The 22,643-nt window shown below is 49.1% G+C and overlaps 1 long non-coding RNA gene across 1 annotated transcript, besides 5 other annotated features; it reads right to left on the bottom strand.

Annotated features, from left to right (window-relative positions):
* Positions 1 to 201: a silencer, noted in NCBI's record as "peak122 fragment used in MPRA reporter construct". NCBI's record gives its function as "represses an SCP1 promoter by STARR-seq MPRAs in K562 erythroleukemia cells {active_cell/tissue: K562}" and the evidence as "EXISTENCE:reporter gene assay evidence [ECO:0000049][PMID:32103011]".
* Positions 1,896 to 3,095: an enhancer, noted in NCBI's record as "BRD4-independent group 4 enhancer chr1:25192786-25193985 (GRCh37/hg19 assembly coordinates)". NCBI's record gives its function as "activates an origin of replication core promoter dependent on BRD2, P300/CBP, MED14 and CDK7 cofactors, and independent of BRD4, by STARR-seq in HCT116 cells {active_cell/tissue: HCT116}" and the evidence as "EXISTENCE:reporter gene assay evidence [ECO:0000049][PMID:35650434]".
* On the bottom strand, positions 3,652 to 12,308 carry LOC105376876 (uncharacterized). The gene is made up of 3 exons (XR_947082.3): positions 11,924 to 12,308; positions 5,865 to 6,202; positions 3,652 to 4,159 (listed from the first exon to the last, which is right to left on the bottom strand). It is a non-coding gene; the product is annotated as an uncharacterized LOC105376876 (long non-coding RNA).
* Positions 20,593 to 20,812: a silencer, noted in NCBI's record as "silent region_441". NCBI's record gives its function as "represses an Ori minimal core promoter by ATAC-STARR-seq in GM12878 lymphoblastoid cells {active_cell/tissue: GM12878}" and the evidence as "EXISTENCE:reporter gene assay evidence [ECO:0000049][PMID:35858748]".
* Positions 20,903 to 21,102: a silencer, noted in NCBI's record as "silent region_440". NCBI's record gives its function as "represses an Ori minimal core promoter by ATAC-STARR-seq in GM12878 lymphoblastoid cells {active_cell/tissue: GM12878}" and the evidence as "EXISTENCE:reporter gene assay evidence [ECO:0000049][PMID:35858748]".
* Positions 21,217 to 21,941: an enhancer, noted in NCBI's record as "H3K4me1 hESC enhancer chr1:25173940-25174664 (GRCh37/hg19 assembly coordinates)". NCBI's record gives its function as "activates a minimal SCP1, AML or CMV promoter by ChIP-STARR-seq in naive H9 embryonic stem cells {active_cell/tissue: H9 hESC(naive)}" and the evidence as "EXISTENCE:reporter gene assay evidence [ECO:0000049][PMID:30033119]".

Here is a 22,643-nt window from a genome sequence, read left to right as displayed (position 1 = left end):
TTGCTCCAGGGGTTCTCTCTGAGTATCTGCATAAATTTTGTTTGCTGAGCCATATAGAAGTACCTACACATGTCAGGACCATTCCCCGTGGGCCTCCTGAGAACAAGGAGCTGCTCTTACATAACCAGGAACAATAACCACGTTCAGGAGAGTTCACATTGACACAATACGGCTCCCACCATCCCAACACTCTCCTTTATGTCATTTTGCCATGTGCATGTTTTTTTGTTTTGTTTTGTTTTGTTTTGTTTGAGACTGAGTCTTGCTCTGTCTCCCAGGCTGGAGTACAATGGTGCAATCTCAGCTCACTGCAACCTCCACCTCCTGGGCTCAAGTGATTCTCCTGCCTCAGTCTCCCTATGCCCACCACCGCGCCCGGCTAATTTTTTTGAATTTTTAGTAGAGATGGGGTTTCACCATCTTGGCCAGGCTGGTCTCGAAATCCTGACCTCATGATCCACCCATCTCGGCCTCCCAAAGTCCTGGGATTACAGGCGTGAGCCACCACGCCCAGCCGCCATGTGCATGTTTTTAATATGCATCATCAGTTTTGCGCTGGGTTCTCCTTCTTCCTGCTTCCACCCACCTACGTTTCTCGGGTCCTGCCTGTTCCTGGAGCTTGCAGTGTGCCTTGCCTCTGACTGCTGCAGGTCCACCGCGTTTTCCCGCTGGGGACAAGGCTGCAATGAGCCTACCTGTGCCCTAGAGCAGCGCTTCTCAGAGTTCACCCCGCATCTGATCTCCTGGGGCTCTGGTGGGAATGCAGAGCTGGCTCAGGACTGCAGTGGGGCCTGACCCACCACAGGAAATGTGGACACAGACCATGCTTTGAGCTGTGAAGCCCCTGCGCCGGGACTTGTGTATGATTTTCTTTGGTGGGAAGATTGAGCTCAAGAACTCAGATGCTGTTTCTTGGAGCTTGAGAACTTAACGTCACCAAGTAGGGTCAGTCCAAGCTCGACAATGGCTGTCCTGTGTGTCCGTGCTCCCACGAAGGTCCAGGCCCTTTGCTGCCTCCCTCGCCCCACCCAGACTCCCCTTCCTTCTTTCTGCACCACAGCCCAGGCTGGTGATGGAAACAGCAGCTTCCCATGGTGGACAGGGCTCCCTTCTGTTCTCTCAGCCACGAGCAGCACCCGGAGGGCTGGTGTGATCAGCCTTCCAGGCTTGTCCCAGACACTTCTGTGGGTGAATATTTCTGGAACTGAGTATGAGTTATTACGTGGTCACAGACCTCGGTCTGCCTGCCTTTAGCTCACTTCTGTTTACAGCCCAGGCAACAGAGGCACAGAGAGATGGAGCGGCTTGCCCAAGGCTACACGGCCAGCCAGACAGAAGGACTAGAGCTCAACCACCAGGCAATGGTAAGGAGGAACCCCACTCTCCAGGGAGGAGGTGAGAATGCCTCTCACCAACTGCACTGGGGAGAAAATGACATTCTAGAAAGACCCATCATGATCAGTGGATGGACATTGGACATTTTGAGGTTTTGAGGGTGTGGGAAAGCCAGGTCAACCAGTCCAAGTCCCTGCCTCTGCTAGGGGTGCTCTCAAAATTCTGGAAGTGTGTCCCTGAGCCTCTTGTGGAACCAACACCAGGTCCCTGGTGGTATGATCTCAGCCCCTCTCTGGGCGTGCGGACCTCCTCCCACATCTGTGCAGGTCAGGGCCATTCCTGCACCGCTGCTTCCCTCTGCTCTGCCCACATGCCCCATTCCTGCCCAGGGAGAAGGGGCTCAGAGCAGGTGCCTCACCCTCCCACCTACCTCCTACCTCCTACCACCTACCTCCATGGTTCTGCCTGACAGCTCCTCCCTCTTTCTCACCCACCCAGACCTGGAAGCCTCTCTCCGCTGTCCTAAGCAAAGGACACGTGTCCACAAAGACATTCCCACCTCTAGAGACCACCTCTAGTGCACAGGCACTGCCCGGTGGGCCCCTTGCCCATTCTCCCTGCCCTAGCCTTCTGTTCCTCACCCGCTGTAGCTCCTCCCTTCCTTGGGGCTATCCCTTGACACTTCCCATAAACAGCTTTCCATCACTGACCTGCACCACACCGCTCAGCCTCTGTGCAGACATCACAAAGTCAGAGAGGCCCCTCCCTTGCTCAGTAGCCCAGCCCCGAGGCCGCTCCGTCACGCTGTCCGGCGTGGGTTCTCCACGGCACTCAACGCCGTCTGAACTGTGTCAGGCTTTCTCGGTTGATTATCTGGCTCCAACCACTTGAAAGTAACTCCAGGGACCAGGACCTCATCTGCTGTGTTTGCTGCTGTCTCCCCAGATCCCAGAGAAGGGCTTGGCATGAACGTGGGTGCATGATAAATGCTCACTTCAGGAATGAATAAAGCGCACCTTATAGAGCACATGGTGTTTTCATGGCCGTAACACACTCAGTCCACACAAGCCTGCAAGGTAGGTGGTTACTCGCCCCTTTTGCATATGAGCACATTGAGGCTCGGAGGGGTGAAGGGATTTGGCAGAAGTTACACAACCAGAAAGTGGCAGAGCTGGGACCACAAGCCCCAGTCTTTCTGACTCTGAACCTCTTGCTCTCCCAGGGGAAGGCATGAACCCTGCCCCGGTGCCCTCGGCACTGGGCAACATCTCCCCTTGCATGAGGAGTCTGCTCTGAGTCACCTGTCCTGTCCTGCCCGTTGTTGCTGTGATCAGTGTCATTTGGGAACCCATAATTCCCCACTGGAGTCAGTCTTGCTTGGAGGTCAGAACCTGCTTCATCCCGTTCTGGCTGTGTGAGCCTGGGCAAGCCACTTCGCCTGCCTGGGTTTCAGTTTCCTTGTCTGTAAAATGAGCACAGTAGCCATCCCCACAGCCTGCTACAGCATCAGAGCCCAGTAAACGGGAACTGTTATTCGTGTCACTTTATGCACATGCGGATATTAAAATATTTTCACTACCAAAGTGGTTGCTCCATCCATTCTAGTTACAAAAAATTATAATGACACACAAAGTGAATGAGCTCCTGGCACCCACTGCTGGTTTGGTGAGTAATTTCCAAGACTGTTTTTTGCCTCATCGAAAGAAATCGAGGAGGGGATTAAAATTATAAGCCTCGCCATCCTGCGCTGCTGAGTCCTAACTTGATTCTTCCACTCAGCTCTTTGTCTCAGAGACGTCCCTATGCTTTATCTTTCATTTTTATTTATTTTTTTTTTCTTTCCTTCCTTCCTTCCTTTCTTATTTTCTTTTGTAGAGACAGAGTCTCACTCTGTGGCCCAGGCCGGAGTGCAGTGGTGCGATCGTGGTTCACTGCAGCCTGGACCTCCTGGGCTCAAGCCATCCTCCCCACTCAGCCACCCAAGTATCTGGGACTACAGTGTGTGCCACCATGCTCCGCTGGTTTTTTGTTTGTTTGTTTGTTTGTTTGTTGAGACAGAGTCTCGCTTTGTCACCCAGGCTGGAGTGCAGTGGTACTACAGGTGTGCACCACTACACCTGGCTAATTTTTCTATTTTTAGGAGAGATGGGGTTTCATCATGTTGGCTAGGCTGGGCTTGAACTCCTGGCCTCAAGTGATCCGCCTGCCTTGGCCTCCCAAAGTACTGGGATTACAGGTGAGCCACCGCACCCAGCCCCAGCTGATTTTTTAAATAATTTTTTTTAGAGATGAGGTATTGCTATTTTGCCCATACTTGTCTCAAACTTCTGGTCTCCAGCAATCCTCCTGCCTTGGCTGGGATTCCAGGCATGGGCCACTCTGCCCGGCTGCTGTACCTTTTATGGAATATGCTCCCTCCTGCCTTCTGTTTTGACCTTCACAGGTCTGTGACATGAACTGGGCAGGCAGCATCCCCTTTTTGCGGATGGAAAAACTGAAGTTCCAAAAAGTAAATGACATCTGCCAAAGGTCACACAGGGAGGAAGCGGCTACATCCCAAATCCAGATCTTCCCACTCTGGATGGCTGAAGATGTGTTTTCCAGGATCCACTGCCCACTCGGAGACAGACTGCTCTGTACAGCTTCATTGTTTTCATTCATCCGTTCCTTCCTTCATTCATTCCACCTGTGCCGGAAGCCAGGCCTCCTGCTGCGATGAGTAAGATTCCAGTAGTGGCTGTGTACAATTGGCATTCACAAAGGCAGATGAGAAGTCTTCAGCTGCTCCCCACACCACGCAGGTCTCGTTCCTGTGGGGAGAGCACTGGGAGGAAAGGGGAGAAAGAATCTTCATTTCTTTTCTTTTCTTTTTTTTTTTTCTTGAGATGGAGATTGCTCTGTCGCCCAGGCTGGAGTGCAGTGGCACGATCTCGGCTCATTGCAACCTCCACCTCCCAGGTTCAAGTGATTCTCCTACTCTGCTTCCCAAGTAGCTGGGATTACAGGCATGAGCCACCATGCCCTCCTAATTTTTGTATTTTTAGTAGAGACAGGGTTTTGCCATGATGGCCAGGCTGGTCTCCAACTCTTGACCTCAGGTGATCTGCCTGTCTCAGCCTCCAAAGTGCTGGGATTACAGGCATGAGCCACTGCGCCCTGGCTGGGATCTTCATTTCTATGCTGCTTATAGTTTTAGAGACAAGCAAACATGATTTCTTTTGTTACTAAAAAGAAATAAAAAAAACAAAACCAGTGGGATCCCTAGACAGAGGTACACTCAGGGTAAAGCCAGGTGAGAAACTGGGTGTGGGCTGTGCCCTGGCCTTGCTGAACGGCTTTACTGGGCGGCCCAGGACACCTGAAATCTGAGACGCCAGCTCCTGGGCAAAGTCTCAGAACGTCAAAGGGTAAAAAAGGGAAGCGTGGAACTGTCAGCAGTGCTGAGGCCTCATTAAGAGAGCCCCCAAAACCCAAAGGTCATTTCCTCCTGCACAGTGGATGTGTTTATTTTACATATCTGGCCAAGCACAGGGGAAAAAGCCAGGCTATAGAGCCAAGGGGCCGAGAAAGAAAGGGGAGAAAAGAAAACAGAAAGTGAAGTGGTGTTTTATGAGCAGCTTTAAATCCCCCTCCCACAATGAATCATGAGGGCTGCTAACGAGGACGACTCCAGAAAGTCTAGGGGTGGGAGTCAGGGGAAACAGGGAAATCGGATCAACATGGATGAAAACTCATGTGTGCTTGCTCACACATACACACACATGCACGCACATGCACACACGCACACACATGCAGACACGCATACACACACATGCACACATGTATACACACATGCATGCACACGCACGCTCAAACATATGCACACACACGGAGCTGTTCTGAGGAGAACAGAGGTGGGGAAGAGAACACATAACCTACGAGGTTAAAAACGCCAGCTGGGCCGGGTGCGGTGGCTCACGCCTGTAATCTCAGCACTTTGGGAGGCCAAGGCAGGAGGATAACCTGAGGTCAGGATTTCGAGACCAGCTTGACCAACATGGCAAAACCCCATCTCTACTAAAAATACAAAACAATTAGCTGGGCGGGGTGGTGTGTGCCTCTAATCCCAGCTACTCAGGAAGCTGAGGCAAGAGAATCGCTTGAATTGAAGAGGCAGAGGTTGCAGTGAGCTGAGATTGCGCCACTGCACTCCAGCCTGGGTGACAGAGCGGGACTCTGCCTTGAAAAAAATAAATAAAATAACAACAATGACAACAACAATCCCAGCTGTCCCAAGAAGAGCCCTGTGTGGAGAACCTTCATGGCCGAGGCCAGGGGCAGCAGGGAGACACTGCCACTGGCAGGAGCTGAGCTCCACTCCTGTGGGCTCCCCAGCATCATGGTCACCCTCAGGGAGCACCTGGGCCTCACTGTCTTGTACCCCACCATCCCCTCACATGGGGCCTAGAAGTTAGGCCTGGTACAAGTGTGGTCTCACACATACACACTCACATGCACACGCACACGCACTCATTTACACACACACACACCTCTTTAATGTCTTCTCCTCTGGAGGAATCTTGGCCAACCTCTTTAATGTCTTTTCCTCTGGAGGAATCTTGGCCAACCTCTTTAATGTCTTTTCCTCTGGAGACATCTTGGCCAACCTCCGAAAGGTGGACTGTGACTCCTGTGTTTTCCACAATTGCCAGCCCCTGCCCCTTGGGTGGCAGCAGGAGGCAGTTTCTGGCACACGGGGTGACACTGGGCGCCTGGGTCCGGCCGCGCGCCAAGCTCCTAGTGCAGGGCCTGGTTCAGCGCCTCCAGGAATGGAAGGTTTTCTTTTCAGCATCACTGTGCTCATCCTAGGTAGGGACCTTGGGAGGGCCTGTGGGAAGGGTGGAGAGAAGAAAAGATGGACAGAAGATGCAGGAGGAGGGTGGCCAGGGAGGGAGAGCCCAGGGAACAGTGTCCAGGTCAGCCAGCTCATCAGACACCCAGGCCCACCTCGAGGGACTGGAAGTGGGTCCACTGTAGGGTGAGGCAGGAGCTGGTGGGCAGCCTGTGCCCCTGGCATGGGGCCTGAAGTCACTACAGGTCACCGATACTGGCAGTCAGGAAGGAAAACTGGATGTGGACCCCCTGGGCCCCACGAGGATGGGGTAAGCACACCTACCACTGAGCCTGGGAAAGGGAAATGCGGGTTTGGGAGCCAGGAGGAGACAGAGTTGGCCCAGAAAGATGTCTGGTGTCCACTCAGTCATGCAGGGAAGCTTTGCCCACAGCTGTCAGCCCTCAGCACACCACTGACTACTCCAGGGCTCAATTTCTCGCAGTCTCTGAGACACTGGGGGGTCCCATCTCCCATAGATTTAAGGCTCATTCGAATGCTACTGACTGTCCCTACCCACACGGCCCCTCCCCGCGGCTGCCTCTCCTCCCAGCGCCTCTCCCTCAAGACACTGCCATCAGCAGCTCAGAAGCGGCCAAGAATTTCCACTAATTGCCTCTCCCTGCAAAACAAACAAACCAAAAGGAGTCACAGTTTAAGTGTCTTTTGGTCTGCTGCCTGATCTTCTTTAAGCCCAGCCTGATTTCTTCTAGGTCCAGGTGTACAAAAACGTCACCTTTTCTGACAGTGGAGAAACAGCCACCGAGTTTTCATGCAGGCCACAGGGAGGAGCTTGTTCTGGAGAATAATACAGCAAAGAAGACTGGCGAGTGCAGCCTTGAAACGATTCAAGGCCGTAGCTCGCCCCTCCTAAGCACCTCTCCAAACTGCGGTGCCTCTGTGGGGAGTGTGGCAAAGCTAACAGCAGCTTCTGCCAGAAGGGAGTGCCCGTCTGAGAGCCTGCGGCCACCGTCTAGGACAGGGATGCGGTAAACTCTCTGTTGTCTGAAGGAGGGGCCTGTGGGGAGAGTGACGGGCCTGGTAGCCCCAGAATCTGCCCCCGGTCCACTCCCACCTTCTCCTTTAAGGAATGTGAGCTGCAGGCTTCAAGAGCCCCAGATGTTGGCCACCAGCTTTGAAGCTGCCACCAGCCTTCCCAGGACCAAACTGATGGCCGCGGCCAGGGTAGGAGGAGCCAGCAGCATCCCCCCACCATTTTCTGGAGGAGTCCAGGACAAGTCATATTCTCTAGCCTATGCAAGGTCGCTTGTCTGGCCGGGGTAGCCAGGATGGCCGGGTGCCCATGTGGGTCATGCCAACCTCACGTCCTTCCCCGCCGACCATACTCTGCGTATGGGAGGGGGAGCGATACCACAGAAGTTCTGGCACCTTCCTGATCTCCTTTTGCACTTCCAGGTGTCATGATTTCTGCTCTTGGGGACCTAAAGGTCAGCAGTGTCACCTACAGTGTCCCAGAGAGGGCTGGGTTTCCGTGTGCCTGAATTTCCACGTGCTCTGGACGCCCAGTGGTTCTGAACAGGGTATGGGGCATATCTGGCTGCTGAGATCCCACCGCAGACCTAACAAACAGAATCCTCAATGCCCTGGGCCCGAACAGGACTCCGGGACGCCCCCTAACAATAGCCATGTGAGACACCCTTCTTCTGACACAGCCCCAAGAGCCAACAGACCCAGGATGAAGCCTTATGATGTGTACAGCCTTAAGCAAATGACTGAACCTCTCAGAGCCTGTGCGCTCGTCCCTAAAGTAAAGATAACACTGGCACCTACTCGGTCACGAAGAAAACATGAGCTAACTCAACCCAGGGCTTCACACAGACTAAATGCCTAATAAATGGCAGCTCTTATCATGCTGTTGCTGTGGGGACAGAGAGAGTCCGCTGTGAACGACCACCTTGCCTGCTTTCAGGCTGGAGTCTGTCTGCTCCGCCTTGCTAGCCAAGTCACCCCTGCCGGTCAGGGTTGCCACATATGGGTGTATAGCTTGTGCACTGCACAAAGTGCTAGCACCGGAATTGGGGCCAAAATCCAACGTGACTCCACCGCTGAGCCATGTATGTTGGCATAAGAGGAGTTCTGCAAGGAGCACGTTTTCTCATCTGCCCAGGAGCACCTCGCAAGCAGTGACGGCTGCTGTGAAGCCCGGGCTGGGCTTGCCCCAGCCTCCGCCAGTCCCAGAACCACGGTCAGTGTTTGCCAAGTTCTGTCTCGAGCCCCAGCTCAGCCACCCTGAGAAGGTGGTGGCCAGCATCTGGCTCTCAGTACCTCCCCGACAGGAAACTGCCCAACCCCGCCCCATGCCTCCACCTGGTCCTCGAAGGCTGCAGATTCTTTATGTCTCTGCCCAACATCGCCACTGTCCCTGATGGGGTTTACAGGCCCAGGCCTAGGTGGGAGAGGAAGAAGTTTCAGGTGGGTGGAAGAGAAGAGAATGGCATTCTACTAGAAGCTGGTTTTTAATTTGCATATATAGAAATGCATATATAAGCTGGGTGCAGTCTCTTACGCCTGTAATCCCAGCACTTTGGGAGGCCGAGGCGGGTAGATCACTTGAGCTCAGGAGTTCACGACCAGCCTGGCCAACATGACAAAACCCCGTATCTACTAAAAATACAAAAATTTGCTGGGTGTGGTGGTGGGCGCCTGTAATTCCAGCTACTTGGGAGGCTGAGGCAGGAGAATCGCTTGAACCCAGGAGGCAGAGGTTGCAGTGAGCCGAGATCGCGCCACTGCACTCCAGCCTGGGCGACAAGAATGAATCTCCGTCTAAAAAAAAAAAAAAAGAAATGCACATATATAAATATATTTTTTATTTTTACAATATAATTATATAGAGAGAGTGTGCATGTGAGGGAGAGAAGGAGGACAACTTGAGAAGCTTGAAAATCTATTTATTATTAGATGACATTAGGAAATGATTGGTAGTTTTTTTAGATATTAGATTATGGGGCCGGTTACAGTGACTCATGCCTGTAATCCCAGCACTTTGGGAGGTCGAGGCAGGAGGATTGCTTGAGGCCAGGAGCTTGAGACCAGCCTGGTCAACATGACAAAACCCCGTCTCTACTAAAAATACAAAAAATTAGCTGGGCATGGTGGCATGTATCTTTGGTCCCATCTAGGGAGGCTGAGGCTCAAAAATCACTTGAACCCGTAAGGTAGAGGTTGCAGTAAGCCAAGATCATGCCACTGCGCTCCAGCCTGGGTGTTAGAGCAAAACTAAAAAAATATTATGGGCCAGGCACATTGGTTCACGTCTGTAATCTCAGCACTTTGGGAGGCTGAGGCAGGAGGATTGCTTGAGCCCCGGAGTTCAAGGCCAGCCTGGGCAACATGGTGAAACCTCATCTCTATAAATAAATAAATAAATAAATAAATAAATAAATAAATATGTGTGTGTGTGTGTGTGTGTATTAATTAAAATTAGCTGGGCAGCCGGCATTATGGCGTGCACCTGAGGTCCCATCAAGTTGGGAGGCTGAAGTGGGAGAATCACCTAATCCTAGGAAGTCAAGGCTGCAGTGAGCCGAGATTGTGCCACTTCACCCCAGCCTGGGTGACACAATGTTGAATTAGTGAAATGTCAAAATGTTTACAGCTTACTTTGAAATGTTTTGGAATAGACAGATAAAACAAATACAGCAAGTGTCAGCAGCTATTACATCTGGTTGGTGGCTGCGTGGATACTTGTATGGAGATTTGTTAGATGACTCCTGCACCTTTTCTGTATGTTTGAAAATTTTCATAATGAAAATGTCTACATAATTTCAGGTGAGAAATAGCCTCCAGGGTCACCTCAGTTCTCTTGTTCCCTCCCGACCCTGCACTTCTGTCTTTACCTCCAAGAGGAATGCCCCTGGGCACACCCCTGTCTCCTTTGGGTGTGGGGGCAGGGGTCCTCGCAGGGTGACACATTAGAGCCACTCAGAAGGGTGGGCCATTCACTGCCTCTGATTGTGCCTCCTGGAGCAGGTGACGTTGTCCTGCTCATGTCCCCCTCATCTCCTCAACCTCAGGGATACTCCTTTTGGAGTGTGAAGCTCTACAGAAAGATGTTCCTTGCTTATTTTGTATAATTAAAAAAAGGAGAAAAAGTAGACAAGTCCAACTGTCTGTCCATCAATAGGAAATTGGTGGCAAAATTTCACAGCTATGTGTTAGTACATCCCGACATGCAGGTATGTCCGTGATACTGTGAAGAAAATAGCAACTTGCAAACACTCTGTATGATGTGATGGTTTAAAAAGAAAACATGGGCCAGGTGTGGTGGCTCGTGCCTGTAATCCCAGCACTTTGGGAGGCCAAGGTGGGAGGATCACCTGAGCCTAGGAGGTGGAGGTTGCAGTGAGCCATGATCGCACCACTGTGCTCCAACCTGGGTGACAGAGCAAGATCCTGTCTCAAAAAACAAACAAACAAACAAACAAAAACCTAAAGAAAAGTAAAAAGAAAACACTATATGCATAATCATGATGTATTTCTAAAGAATGATCTGGAAGGTGGCCTAGGGAAGGAACTGTTCACAGTGGTTTCTTCTGGAGAGTGAGATTAAGTGGGGCAGGAGAAACTTTCACTTTTCATGTCAAACATGCCTCCATTTTTGGAATCTCTTTACAATTCTAATAGCACACATCTCAGAGCACTTATTACATTTCAGGCACTGTAATGATATCTAGTACTCACATAGCACCTACTATGTGCCAAGCACTGTTCTAAGGGCTTCACACATATTAACTCATTGAATCTGCACACAATTTATTTGATGTTATGATCATCTTTCCCAGGTTAAAGATAAGGGATGGCCGGGCATGCTGGCTCACTCCTGTAATCCCATTGCTTTGGGAGGATCATTTGAGACCAGGAGTTGGAGACCAACTTGGACAACATATTGAGATCCCGTATCTACAAAATATTTGAAAATTAGCCAGTTGTGGTAGCACTCACCTGTAGTCCCAGCTACTTGGGAGGCTGAGGTGGGAGGATCGATTGAGCCCAGGAGGTCAAGGCTGCTGTGAGCCATGATGGGGCCACTGTACTCCAGCCTGGGCAATAGAGCAAGACCTTGTCTCAAAAAAAAAAAAAAAAAAAAAAGAAAGAAAGAAAGAAAAAATAAAAGGAAAGGAAAGGAAAAAAAAAAAAAGAAAAAACTGAGGCACAGAGTAGTTGAGTAACTTGCTCAAGGTCACACAGCCAGGGATTTAAACCTGGACAGTCCCTCTCTACTGATAGTGCCATTACAACTCTATTCTGTTGCCTCAGAGGCCTTGTTTCATTGGATCCTCACAACAGCTCCCCCAGCAGGTCCTTGCCTCACTCAAGTACTCAAAGAGCAGCTGAGGAGGCTGACAAGACACAGTTCAGGGGCGAAGGCAATTGAAGGCTGGCGTGAGGTTTGTCCTCTTCTCTTCTTAGCAGAAGGAGAGGACCCCAGAGAAATAAACACCTACACATGCATGAGGTCCCACCAGCAGCAAAGCACCTTCTCTTCCACGGACGCCTCTCATGACACACAGTGTTAGACCTGGAAGTCAAGGGGCCCAGCTGCTCACTTAACAGATAAGGACACTGAAGCCCAGAAACAAGAAATGGCCAAAGTCCGGATGAGTTTGGGATGGCCACTCCCTAAGGCCAGGGACTTGCCGGGGAAAGGGGGCAAATGCAGGGCAGAACTGTCCCCCTCAAGGCTCCTGGTCTTACCTTCTGCAGGTGGCGAGGACTGAGTCTTGAAGTCCTATCTGTCTCCACACATGCAGCAAAAGTGGCCCGTTTGGGGACCCCTGTCCAGCACTCACTCTACCCCTCGCTGGGGCCTGGACAGAGGTGTCACACTGCCCCGGAGCCACCCCATAGAATTCTGAGAATAAGAAGTGGTCCGACACCCAGGAGGAGACACACCCAAATGTTCACAGTCACAGATCTGGGGTGTGAAATTGCGGGTGATTTTTATTTCCTTCTTTGTACTTTCCAAATTTTTCAGCGGTGAACGTGCATCGCTATTATAATTAGAAAAAAAAAAAACAGATTGGACTTTTTTTTCTTCAGGAGAAACCAAGGACATATCACAGGAAGTATTTCAGCCAGTAAGTGTCAAATGTGCGAACCAAGAAGGGGAAATGGGAGAGGCAGAGAGGTGGAAAACCAGCATTTGCTGGGCGCCTGCACTGCAGGAACTGTGGTGCCGGGAAGGCGGCATCGCGGCCTCTTCAATCCTCCCAGCTACCCTGGGAGGTTGGTGCTGTGATCTCTGTTTACCAATGGGGATACTGAGGCACAAGAAGGAAAGCAGCTTGCCCAAGTTCACCCAGCCAGCACATGGTAGAGCTAAAATTTGAACCAGACTGTCTTCTTACAAGGCCGCTGTCCTCTCCACCTCCCCATGCTGCCTTTCCAAGAGGTGGTAGAAAACGCAATTTCAAAACCAGTTTGGGCCGGGCACGGTGGCTCATGCCTATAATCCCAGCCCTCTGGGAGGCCGAGGCGGGAGGATCACTTGAGGTCAGGAGTTTGAGACCAGCCTGGCCAACATGGTGAAACCCCATCTCTACTGAAAATATAAAAATTAGCCAGGCGTGGTGGCAGGTGCCTGTAATCCCAGCTACTCAGGAGACTGAGGCAGGAGAATCGCTTGAACATGGGAGGCAGAGGTTGCAGTGAGCTAAGATCACACCACTGCACTCTAGCCTGGGTGACAGAGCAAGACTCCATCTCAGAAAGCAAACAAACAATCAAACAAAAAAACAGTTTGGTTTAAAACCATCCAGCAGAGGACCTGTTATCCAGGGCCTCCCAGAAAAGAGCCTCCAGTCTTCACTATGGAAGGTCTCCTCCAGGCAGCATGGTATTGAAGCCCAGAACAGTGCCTGGTGCTTATTATTTGCCATTATTTTGATGACAGAGCGTCATTTTCATGTTCTGGCACCCTGCTCTGTCTGGCGGCATTAAGGTCTAATGTAGATGGAGCTGAAGTGGACTTGGTCTACCATTGGCTTGCTAGTAGCACTGAAAATTGGTACAATCCGAAGAAATAGCCACAAATGGGTTGAGATCTTTTGACTCACGAGTTCCATTCCCAGGGACAGATTTCTAAGAACTACTTCAGAAACAAGAAGCTGTGTGCACAAGTATGTTCGTATCAGTATTAACTACAAAATTTACTCATCTACTACAAAATCAACTCATTAAATTTGCAAAAAATTTACAATGCAACACTGTGAGGGGAGATGCTATAAAACGTGATCTTTTACAATAGATGGTGGTCACCAGCCTCTAAAGGCCCCCCAAAATCCTTGCCTCCTGGTAATCACATCCTTGTGAAGTCCCCTCTCACACTGAATAGGGCTGACATGGCGACCAACAGGATATGATGGAAGCAACCATGAGTGACTTCCAATGAGAGCTCACGGAAGATGTTGCAGCTTCTGCCTTGGTCTCTTGATCATTCACTCTGGGGAAAGCCAGTGTCATGTCAAATCATGAAAAAACTCAAGCCACACTGTGGAGAGTCCCCTGCAGAGAGGAAGGAAGGCCTCCTGCCAACCGCCATGTGAGTGATGAAGTTGGAGATGGAGACCCTCGAGCAACGGTCAAGCCCCAGTCAGATGTCTGCAGCCCTGAAGGACATCTCAGCTGCAACCACATGAGAGGCCCTGAGCCAGAACTGCCCAGCTAGGCTGCTCTTGAAATTCCTAATGCATAGAAACTATGCAAGATAAATGTTATTGTTTTAAGTCACTAGGTTTTGGGGTAGTTTGTTCCACAGCCATAGATACAATAGATAGATGGCTCATACAGCGGGGTCCCATAAGGCAATGAGAGTGAATGAACTATTGCTATGCACATCAATGTTGATGAATTTTATAAACCTAATGTTGAATAAAAGCAGCAGATACCAAAGAGAACATACGTCTTGGTTCATTTTCTGTTGCTGTAACAGAATACCACAGATTGGGTAATTATAAAAAGAAATGTGCTGGGCATGGTGGCTCACACCTGTAATCCCAGAAATTTGGGAGGCCAAGATGGGTGGATTGCTTGAGCTCAGGAATTTGAGACCAACCTGGGCAACATGGTGAAACCCCATCTCTACCAAAAATTTAAAAATTAGCCAGGTGTGATGGTGCATGCCTGTAGTCCCAGCTACTCAGAAGGCTGAGTTGGGAGGATGGTTTGAGCCCAGGAGGCAGAGTTGCAGTGAGCTGAGATTGCAGCACTGCACACACTCCAGCCTGGGTGACAGAACCAGACTCTGTCTCAAAGAAAAAAAAAAAAAAAGGAAAGAAAGAAAAAGAAAAAAATTTTATATCTTATAGTTAGAGAAGTCCAAGGCTGAGGAGCTGCATCTGATGAGGACCTTCTTGCTACGTTATAACATGGCAGAGGGCATCACATGGTGAGAGGGCAAGAGCATGGCAGTTCAGGTCTCTCTTCCACTTCTTATGGGCCACCAGTCCCAACCATGGGGGGGCCCACTCTGATGACCTTATCTAATCCTAATTACCTCCCAAAACCCCTTCCTCCCCTCCAAATGCCATCAACATATGAATTTGGGGATTGTTTCTAATGCAGGAAATTTGGGGGACACATTCAAACCATAGCAACATACTTTATGATTTTATTAATCAAAGGTCAAAAACAGTCCAAATTAATTTATGCTGTTAGAAATCAGGGTAGTTGTTACCTTTGGAAGGGGGAGGTTGGTGACTGGAACAGGTAAGGAGAGGACCTCCAGGTGCTGGTAATGTCCTCTTTCTTGATCTGGGGACTGGTTACATGTGTGTGCTTAGTTTTCAAAAATTCAAACTAAGGCTGGGCGCAGAGGCCCCCAGGATTTTGGACGGCCGAGTTGGGAGGATCACCTGAAGCCAGGAGTTTGAGACCAGCCTGGCCAACATGGTGAAACCCCGTCTCTACTAAAAATACAAAAATTAGCTGGGCGTAGTGGTGGGCGCCTGTAATCCCAGCTACTCGGGAGGCTGAGGCAGGAGAATTGCTTGAACCCAGGAGGTGGAGGTTGAGGTGAGGTAAGATCGTGCCAATGCACTCCAGCCTAGGTGACAGAGTGAGACTCGGTCTCAAAAAAAAAAAAAAATTCTAACAGAGCTGTACATTTAGGATTTGTGCACTATTCTGTGTGTGCTGTGTATAGACTATTGTGTATCCCAATAAAAAAGTTTTAAATATTTACATATTGTGTATTTCAATAAAAATGTTCTTAAATTATCATTTTATGCTCACTGTATAAAATCTAGACACACATAATCAGGCCTTGGTCAGTGAAACCGGCAGAACCACAGGAGAGTCCGTACAATGATTTGTGGCCCCGTGAAATGTACACGCACATGAAAGGCAGGACGGAAACAAATGGAATGTTTGTGTTGGGAGGCAAGGATTCTGGGTAGCTTTTAAGTATTTCACTGAAGAATGTATTCTTGTCAAAGAGAATGAAAAAAGGGCCTAGAGGTATCCTACATTTCCACATAGTGTCTAACTAAAAAGTAAAACAGTCCTCGAAGGAATATGCTTTTTATTCACCAAAAAATTGGCCACCCAGAATAACTCCTTCCCAGAGATTTTACAAATCGTTCAAGTGTGGTTTCTCTAGCAGAATCAGTTATTGAAACTACCATTTTCCTTAAGGCAGAAAAGTGGAGGTCTGCTCGCCACGCTCGCGGGTCAGCCAGGCTTGGAGGGAAGCCACGCCAAGCAGGGAGAGAAGGTGTCGGCGACATGCTGCGCAAATAAGCAGCAAGTATCAATTTGCTGCAAAGTAAGAAGGAAATGTGTGGGCCTGGAGGATCCTTCCTGGTGCTAATAGAATCAAAGCAGAAACACCACGCTCAAATCCCCAAACAGGCCAGGCGTGGTGGCTCATGCCAGTAATTCCAGCACTTTGGGAGGAGAATCACTTGAGCCCAGGAGTTCAGGATCAACCTAGTCAACATAGCAAGACCCAGTCTCTATTAAAAAAATAAAATGAAATCCCCAAACAGCTGCAGACTCAAGAAATATGGGAGAATTCTTCAGTTTCACTGAGCAACGAACTATGGATTTCCCATAATAGCTATCCGGAAGAAGTCTCTTGTAGTTCTCATGAGAAATAAAACATTCCAATATTCATGTATCATTGTGAAGATGTAGAATCTGTGTTTCACAGCCCCTCCAATATGTCATCATCTTGCTTGAAAATCTTCAATGGCTCCCCCAGCTTGTGACCGCACAGCACAGTCTTTTTTTTTTTTCTTTTTTTTTGAGATGGAGTCTCACTCTGTTGCCCAGGCTGGAGTGCAGCAGCATGATCTCGGCTCACTGCAACCTCCGCCTCCCTCTTTCAAACAATTCTCCTTCCTCAGCCTCCCAAGTAGCTGGGACTAGAGGTGTGCGCTACCATGCTTGGCTAATTTTTGCATATTTAGTAGAGATGAGGTTTCATTATTTTGGCCAGGCTGGTCTCAAACTCCTGACCTCATGATCTGCCTGCTTCAGCCTCCCAAAGTGCTGAGATTACAGGTGTGAGCCAACGCGCCCGGCCAGCACAGTCTTAAAAGGTGTCTCTGACTGGGCCTGAAAGTGCAGGTTCAACTCACCATGCACCCAAGACAGTGTCTCCTTCAGCTTCCAGGCCAAGCCCCCACTGTACCCTTCATCTGGGAACTCCCTTCACCAACTGGTCTTTACAGGGTGAAGGGTTTTCTAAGCTTCAAAGCTGTGGAAGAAACCACAAGGGAAATGTTTGACAGATCCGTGTCACATAAAAATAAAAACTTCCAGTATGATGAAAAAATACAAGCAAAATTAAAACACAAACAACCGGGAAAAAGCTTGCAGAAATGCCACAAACAGATGGTTAGAATCCTTAATTTATACAGCGCTTACATAAATGGATTAAAAAAGACAAAAGTGTCCATGAATAAAAGGGTAAAGGACATAAACAATAAAACACAAATACAAATGGCCAATAAATACTGGCAGGGGGTAGCGTGGGGGAGAATGTTTAATCTCTCTAAGGGCCAAAAAAATGCAAAATAACAATGAAATAACATTAAGTCAGCAAAGATACTGCTCTCTGTTAGCCGAAGTGTAAGAAGATGGCATTTGTACAGGCACTGGGGGTGTGTAAACTAATGAAGTATTTCTGCAAGCCACTTGGTGAGATTTATCAAAAGCCTGAACATGTTCCTACCTTTCATCCACTTTTTTTTTGTTAACATTTCCTTAGAAACTCTGGCTAATACTTTGGTGATATTTATCATTCTCCTTAAAAATGTTCATATTTCCAATTTTTTCCTCTGAAACTTAGAAGTTGAAGTACAGTCAAAGCGGTATATACAGAGATGTCCACTGCAACATAAATGTGTGGCGATTAAAAGCTGGAAACAACCTCGACGTCCTACAGTCAGGAATGAGTGAGGTGATTATGATGGGTCCTTGTGGTTGAAAACATCAGGCAAATAGCCTTAAAATAGCCTTAAAATAATCAAGAGAGGCCAGGTACGGTGGCTTACACCTGTAATCCCAGTATTTTGGGAGGCCAAGGTGGGCATATCGTTTGAGCTCAGGGGTTTGAGGCCAGCCTGGGCAACATAGAGAAACCTTGTTTCTACAAAAAAATACAAAAATTATCTGGGCATGGTGGTGCATGCTTGCAGTCCCAGCTACTCGGGAGGGTGAAGGGGGGAGGACTGACGGAGCCCAGGAGGTTGAGGCTGCAGTGAGCCAAGATTTCACTACTGCACTCCAGCCTGGGCAATAGAGCAAGACCCTGTCTCAAAAAAAAAAAAAAAAAAAAAAATCAAGAGTTCCAGATGATATGGGAAAATGCTTATGGTATAACAGATTTGTAATAGAAATTAAGCTCTAAAATTCATAAAGGAAAAAAAAATCCTCGCCAAATGGGCTGGAAAACACACTATAAATAGTCGTCTCTGGGTGGTAAATTTGGGGGAAATTTGCGTATGTGTTTCTTTACCGTTTTCTGTACTTTCCAAAACTTGTACGATGAGCAGAATTGCTTTGATAATCACTTAAACAATTCAAAACCTGTACAAAAAAAAAAAAAAAATTCCTCCCTGATACCCTTTTGATTTTCCTAGTGAAAAGTTCCCTTTATGAATCTTCATAAAGTAGGTTCAATACGTTTTTGTGAATGGATGAATAAATAGTACTTTTAGTCTCTTGAGAATCGTTTCTCACCTTCTGCTTTTATGGCCCAGTTATTTGTGTTCATGTCTTTTCTCCCTTGTGATCCTGGAAGCCTCTTAAAGGCAGAAATCACGTGTCTTCATTAATTCACATCCAGCCAGGGCCTTGCACCCGGGAGGCATTCAACAGTATTATTTTTTAATGAATAGAGCATGCCATATAGTTAAGTGCGTGTGTTTTAACATTAGATAAATATATTTTTAAACATGAGATCAACATTCTGGTTGCCAAGGATTATTTGTTAAGCCCATTCCTTAGGAAGTCAGAGAACTCCCTGAAAGCCGACGAGGGGATAAAGATGTCATTCTAGTAGCAACTCTGTCCCAGCCTGGTTGCCATCATATGTTTTTGCTAAACACACTGTCTGGTCCAAGGAGCCCCCATTCTGCAACCAACAGAGCCTTGGGTGAGTCACTCATCCTTAGCTCTTTCTTCAATGAGACGAGGGTCCTGGAATATTTCCAGCTTGATGTCATCAAGGTTTCTAAAAAATCTGATAATGCAAGCTGGCTTAGAATTTCAAGTTGAAAGGTAACTTTAGAACACTGCAGATTGAACAACAAAAAATCTCTATTGATAATCAAATCAATACTGTGCACCAGTGATTTGGGCTTCACTTTATGTACATTTTTTAAATTTATTTACATTTTCTGACCAAAAATCAATAAATAGTAAGGGGCAAACTCATGATGCTGGCATAAACCATAGAATTCTTGGAGGATCTGTAAAGATTAGCAGCAATTCCGCAGTAAATTATTTAAGAGATGAGATTAAATCTTTTTTCTTTCTTTCTTTTTTTTTTTGGAGACAGAGTCTCACTCTGTGGTCCAGGCTGAAGCACAGTGAACCTAGTTCACTCCAGCCTTGACCTCTTGAGCTCAAGCGATCCTCCCACTTCAGCCTCCCAAGCAGCTGAGACTACAGTCATGAGCCTCCGTGTCCAGCCTTTAAATCATTTTTTAAAAGCATGTCTACGAAGGAAGGGAATGGAGAGGGCCCTGGGCTTTTCTTCTCTTGCCCCTTCCTTGATTGGAAAACCTCCATTCAGCCACGTGAGAATGAGTCTGCTGGCTTACAGTGACCTCTGCAGACGGCAGGGAGTTGCGTGAACATCTCTGAGCCAAGGAAGGGGAGAGGCCCCTTTTGCCCTCCCTGACCCCTCAAAGTCCCCCCTGCCAAGCAGGACCCTTTTACCCAGAAATGTGGTGCCAATGCACTTGGTGCGTGGTATTGGAACCATTTGGTTCTGCTTGCATTGCGCTCATTAGGCTCCTAAACTTCCTGCTGGAAAAGGCCACTTGGGGTGGCACGTGCCTGTAGTGCCAGCTACTCAGGAGGCTGAGGCAGGAGGATTGCTTGACACTGTTTCTTAAAAAATTAAAGAGAGAGAGAGAGAAGGAGGAGGAGGAGGAGGAGGAGGAGGAGGAGAAGAGGAGGAGGCGGAGAGGAGGAATACACTTGGGTAGCTGGGGAGCTCTGGACAGTTCCACAGCTGGGCTAAGAAATCAGCTTCCCTGAAGGTCACAGTGAGCCAAGATTGCACCACTGCAGTCCAGTCTGGGCAATGGGAGTGAAAGCCTATGAAAAGAAAATAAAAAATAAAAGAGAAAGAGAGAGAGAAAGGAGGGAAGGAGGGAGGGAGGGGGGAGGGGAAAAGAGGGGGGAAGAGGGGAGAAGAGAAGAGAGAAGAGGAGAAGAGGAAAAAAAATCAGCCTCCTCGAGTCTCCTTAAACCCTGCACAGGGGAGGTGACAGCAACCAACCCAGTGCGATGTTAAGCTCTGGAGCCAGATGACCTCTATCAGTTCCTGGTGTGATCTTGGGCAAATTATTTAACCTCTCTAGGTTTAAGTTTCTTTATATAAAACAATGGGGACAAGAATAGTCCCTCCTCTAATAGACTTGAGAATATGAAGAGACTTGAAACATTTTAAAAACTTTAGCACAATAACTGGTACATCGAGTTTAATGACAATTATTATCTGACTGAGGAAATTAGAGAAAGGAAGCACAGGAAGAAACTGAGGTTTATCTATTTCTTATAAGAAATTGGATCAGAAATGTGTCACTGGCTTCCCCAAAGGATGTCCCGAGGCCGTCCCTCCCCGTGGATGGGTGCCGCTTCTTCTGGCGGGGAAGTGAGGCCCGTCCGAGTCAGCAGAGCGGGGACCGCCCCGCCTGGAACCGTGGCCCCTTTTCCTAGTGCCCAGGTGGCCCCTCCCGCGGTCGGCGCTCCGGCCTGTGCCGGGCGTCCAGGAGGGCTCGCTCGGGCTCCCGTGCGCGCTCTCAGAAGCAGGGAACTGGCGCCTGGCGCGGCGGCGGGGACGCTCTCGAGTCCCCAGGCAGTGATCGGGGGCCCCCGGGGGAAGGACGCCGCTCGGGGCCAACCGCAGCGGAGCCCTCGCCCTGCCGCGACCCAACCGCCGCCCAGCCCTGTGGTTCGCGGGCGAAGCGCTTCCTCTAGCTGCCGGTGGCCGGCCGAGAACCAGGGACATGCAGAAGTGCCAGCGTCGAGGCCCACGTGCGACCTGACCTCGCGTGGACATTGGCTGGCTCCGTCACACCCAGACCGCTGGCACTTCCCACCCCACCCCACCTAGGGTGTGAGCGGGTCCCTGCCCTGCCCCGCCGGGGGAGGCGCGGAGGTGTCGGTTCGCAGCGGCGCCGGGGAGCGTCCGTTCGACACAGGAAGGAGGGAAGGAGGCCGGAGGCGCCTTCGCAGCGCGCAGCAGCCCTGACAGATCTGATAAAGAGGAAGGAAGCCGACAACGCTGCTGATCGGGTCTGGCAGCTCCCCAAACTGACGAGGTCCTGCAGCTGTCCCAGCCCTGCTTGCAGAAGTGGCGCCGAAAGGAGGGGAACCGCGGCCCCTGCTGGCCACTTCGGAACCGCACCCGAGTGGTGACAGGAAAGCGAGCAGGGGCTTTAGGGACAAGGCCGGCTGATGCCTCTCGCAGCAGGAGGTGGGGGATGCAGGGCCCCTCTGGGCCCGAGACCTCTACCTCCTGCTTGGTGCGAGAGACCTGCCCCTCAGGACAAACCAACCAAACGTGCTCTTGGCCGGGCGCGGTGGCTCACGCCTGAAATCCCAACAGTTTCGGAGGCTACGACAGGAGGATTGCTTGAGGCCAGGGGCTTGACACCAGCCTGGGCAACAGAGCTAGAATCCTGTCTCTATTTTTATTTATTTATTTTTTTAAAGAATCTATATGTTCCAGCTGGACCTCTGCTTACCTGGCAACCAACTACCTTAGTTGTCAGGGGCCAGGGAGCCAAGTCCACTCTTTTAAGGAGGAAAACAGACACACTTTTAAAGATTGCTGAGCACTATCTGCATATTGCTATATTGCCTAGCTTTGACTGTCATTTACTAGCTGTGGGATTTTGAGCAAGTTTCTTTTCTTATTTAGAGACAGGATCTTGCTCTGTTGCCCAGGCTGGAGTGCAATGGCACAATCATAGTTCACTGCAACCTCGAACTCCTGGGCTCAAGCGATCCTCCTGCCCCAGCCACCCATGTAGCTAGGACCAGAGGCTCTCACAACCTTAATTTTTTTTTTTTTGTAGAGACAGGGTCCTGCTATGTTTCCCAGGCTCTTGAGCAAGTTTCTTAACCTCCACATGCCTCAGTTTCCTCACCCATAAAATGGGAATAATAGTCTCTATCTCATAGGATTGTTAAAGAGACTAAGTTAATATACGTAAAGTGTTTAGAACAGTTCCTGGTGTATAATAAATATGTGTGTTAAATTTAAAACTTTAGATTTTCAGGCAGGATGTGGTGGCTCACGCCTGTAATCCCAGCACTGTGGGAGGCCAAGGCAGGTGGATCACTTGAGGTCAGGAGTTCGAGACCAACCTGGCCAACAGGTTACAATTTTTGTATTTGTAAAAATACAAAAATTAGCCGGGCATGGTGGAGGGCGCCTGTAATCCCAGCAACTAAGGAGGCTGAGGCAGGAAAATCACTTGGACCTGGGAGGCAGAGGCTGCAGTGAGCCAAGATCATGCCACTGCACTCCAGCTTGGGCAGTAGAGTGAGACTCTGTCAAAAAAAAAAAAAAATTCATCATGGGTTGTAGGCTACTGTAAGTAGTTCCTTATTCTGGGGATTTTCTTGGTATCTTTCAACTATTGACTTCTAGTTTAATTCCACTGTGGTCAGAAAACGTATTTTGTATTTCATTCCTTTGAAATTTGTTGAGGCTTGTTTTATGGCT

This window comes from Homo sapiens, chromosome 1 (assembly GCF_000001405.40).
Source record: "Homo sapiens chromosome 1, GRCh38.p14 Primary Assembly".
In the NCBI taxonomy this organism is placed as follows: Eukaryota; Metazoa; Chordata; class Mammalia; order Primates; family Hominidae; genus Homo; species Homo sapiens.
This window is presented reverse-complemented; position numbering and strand designations above follow the sequence as displayed.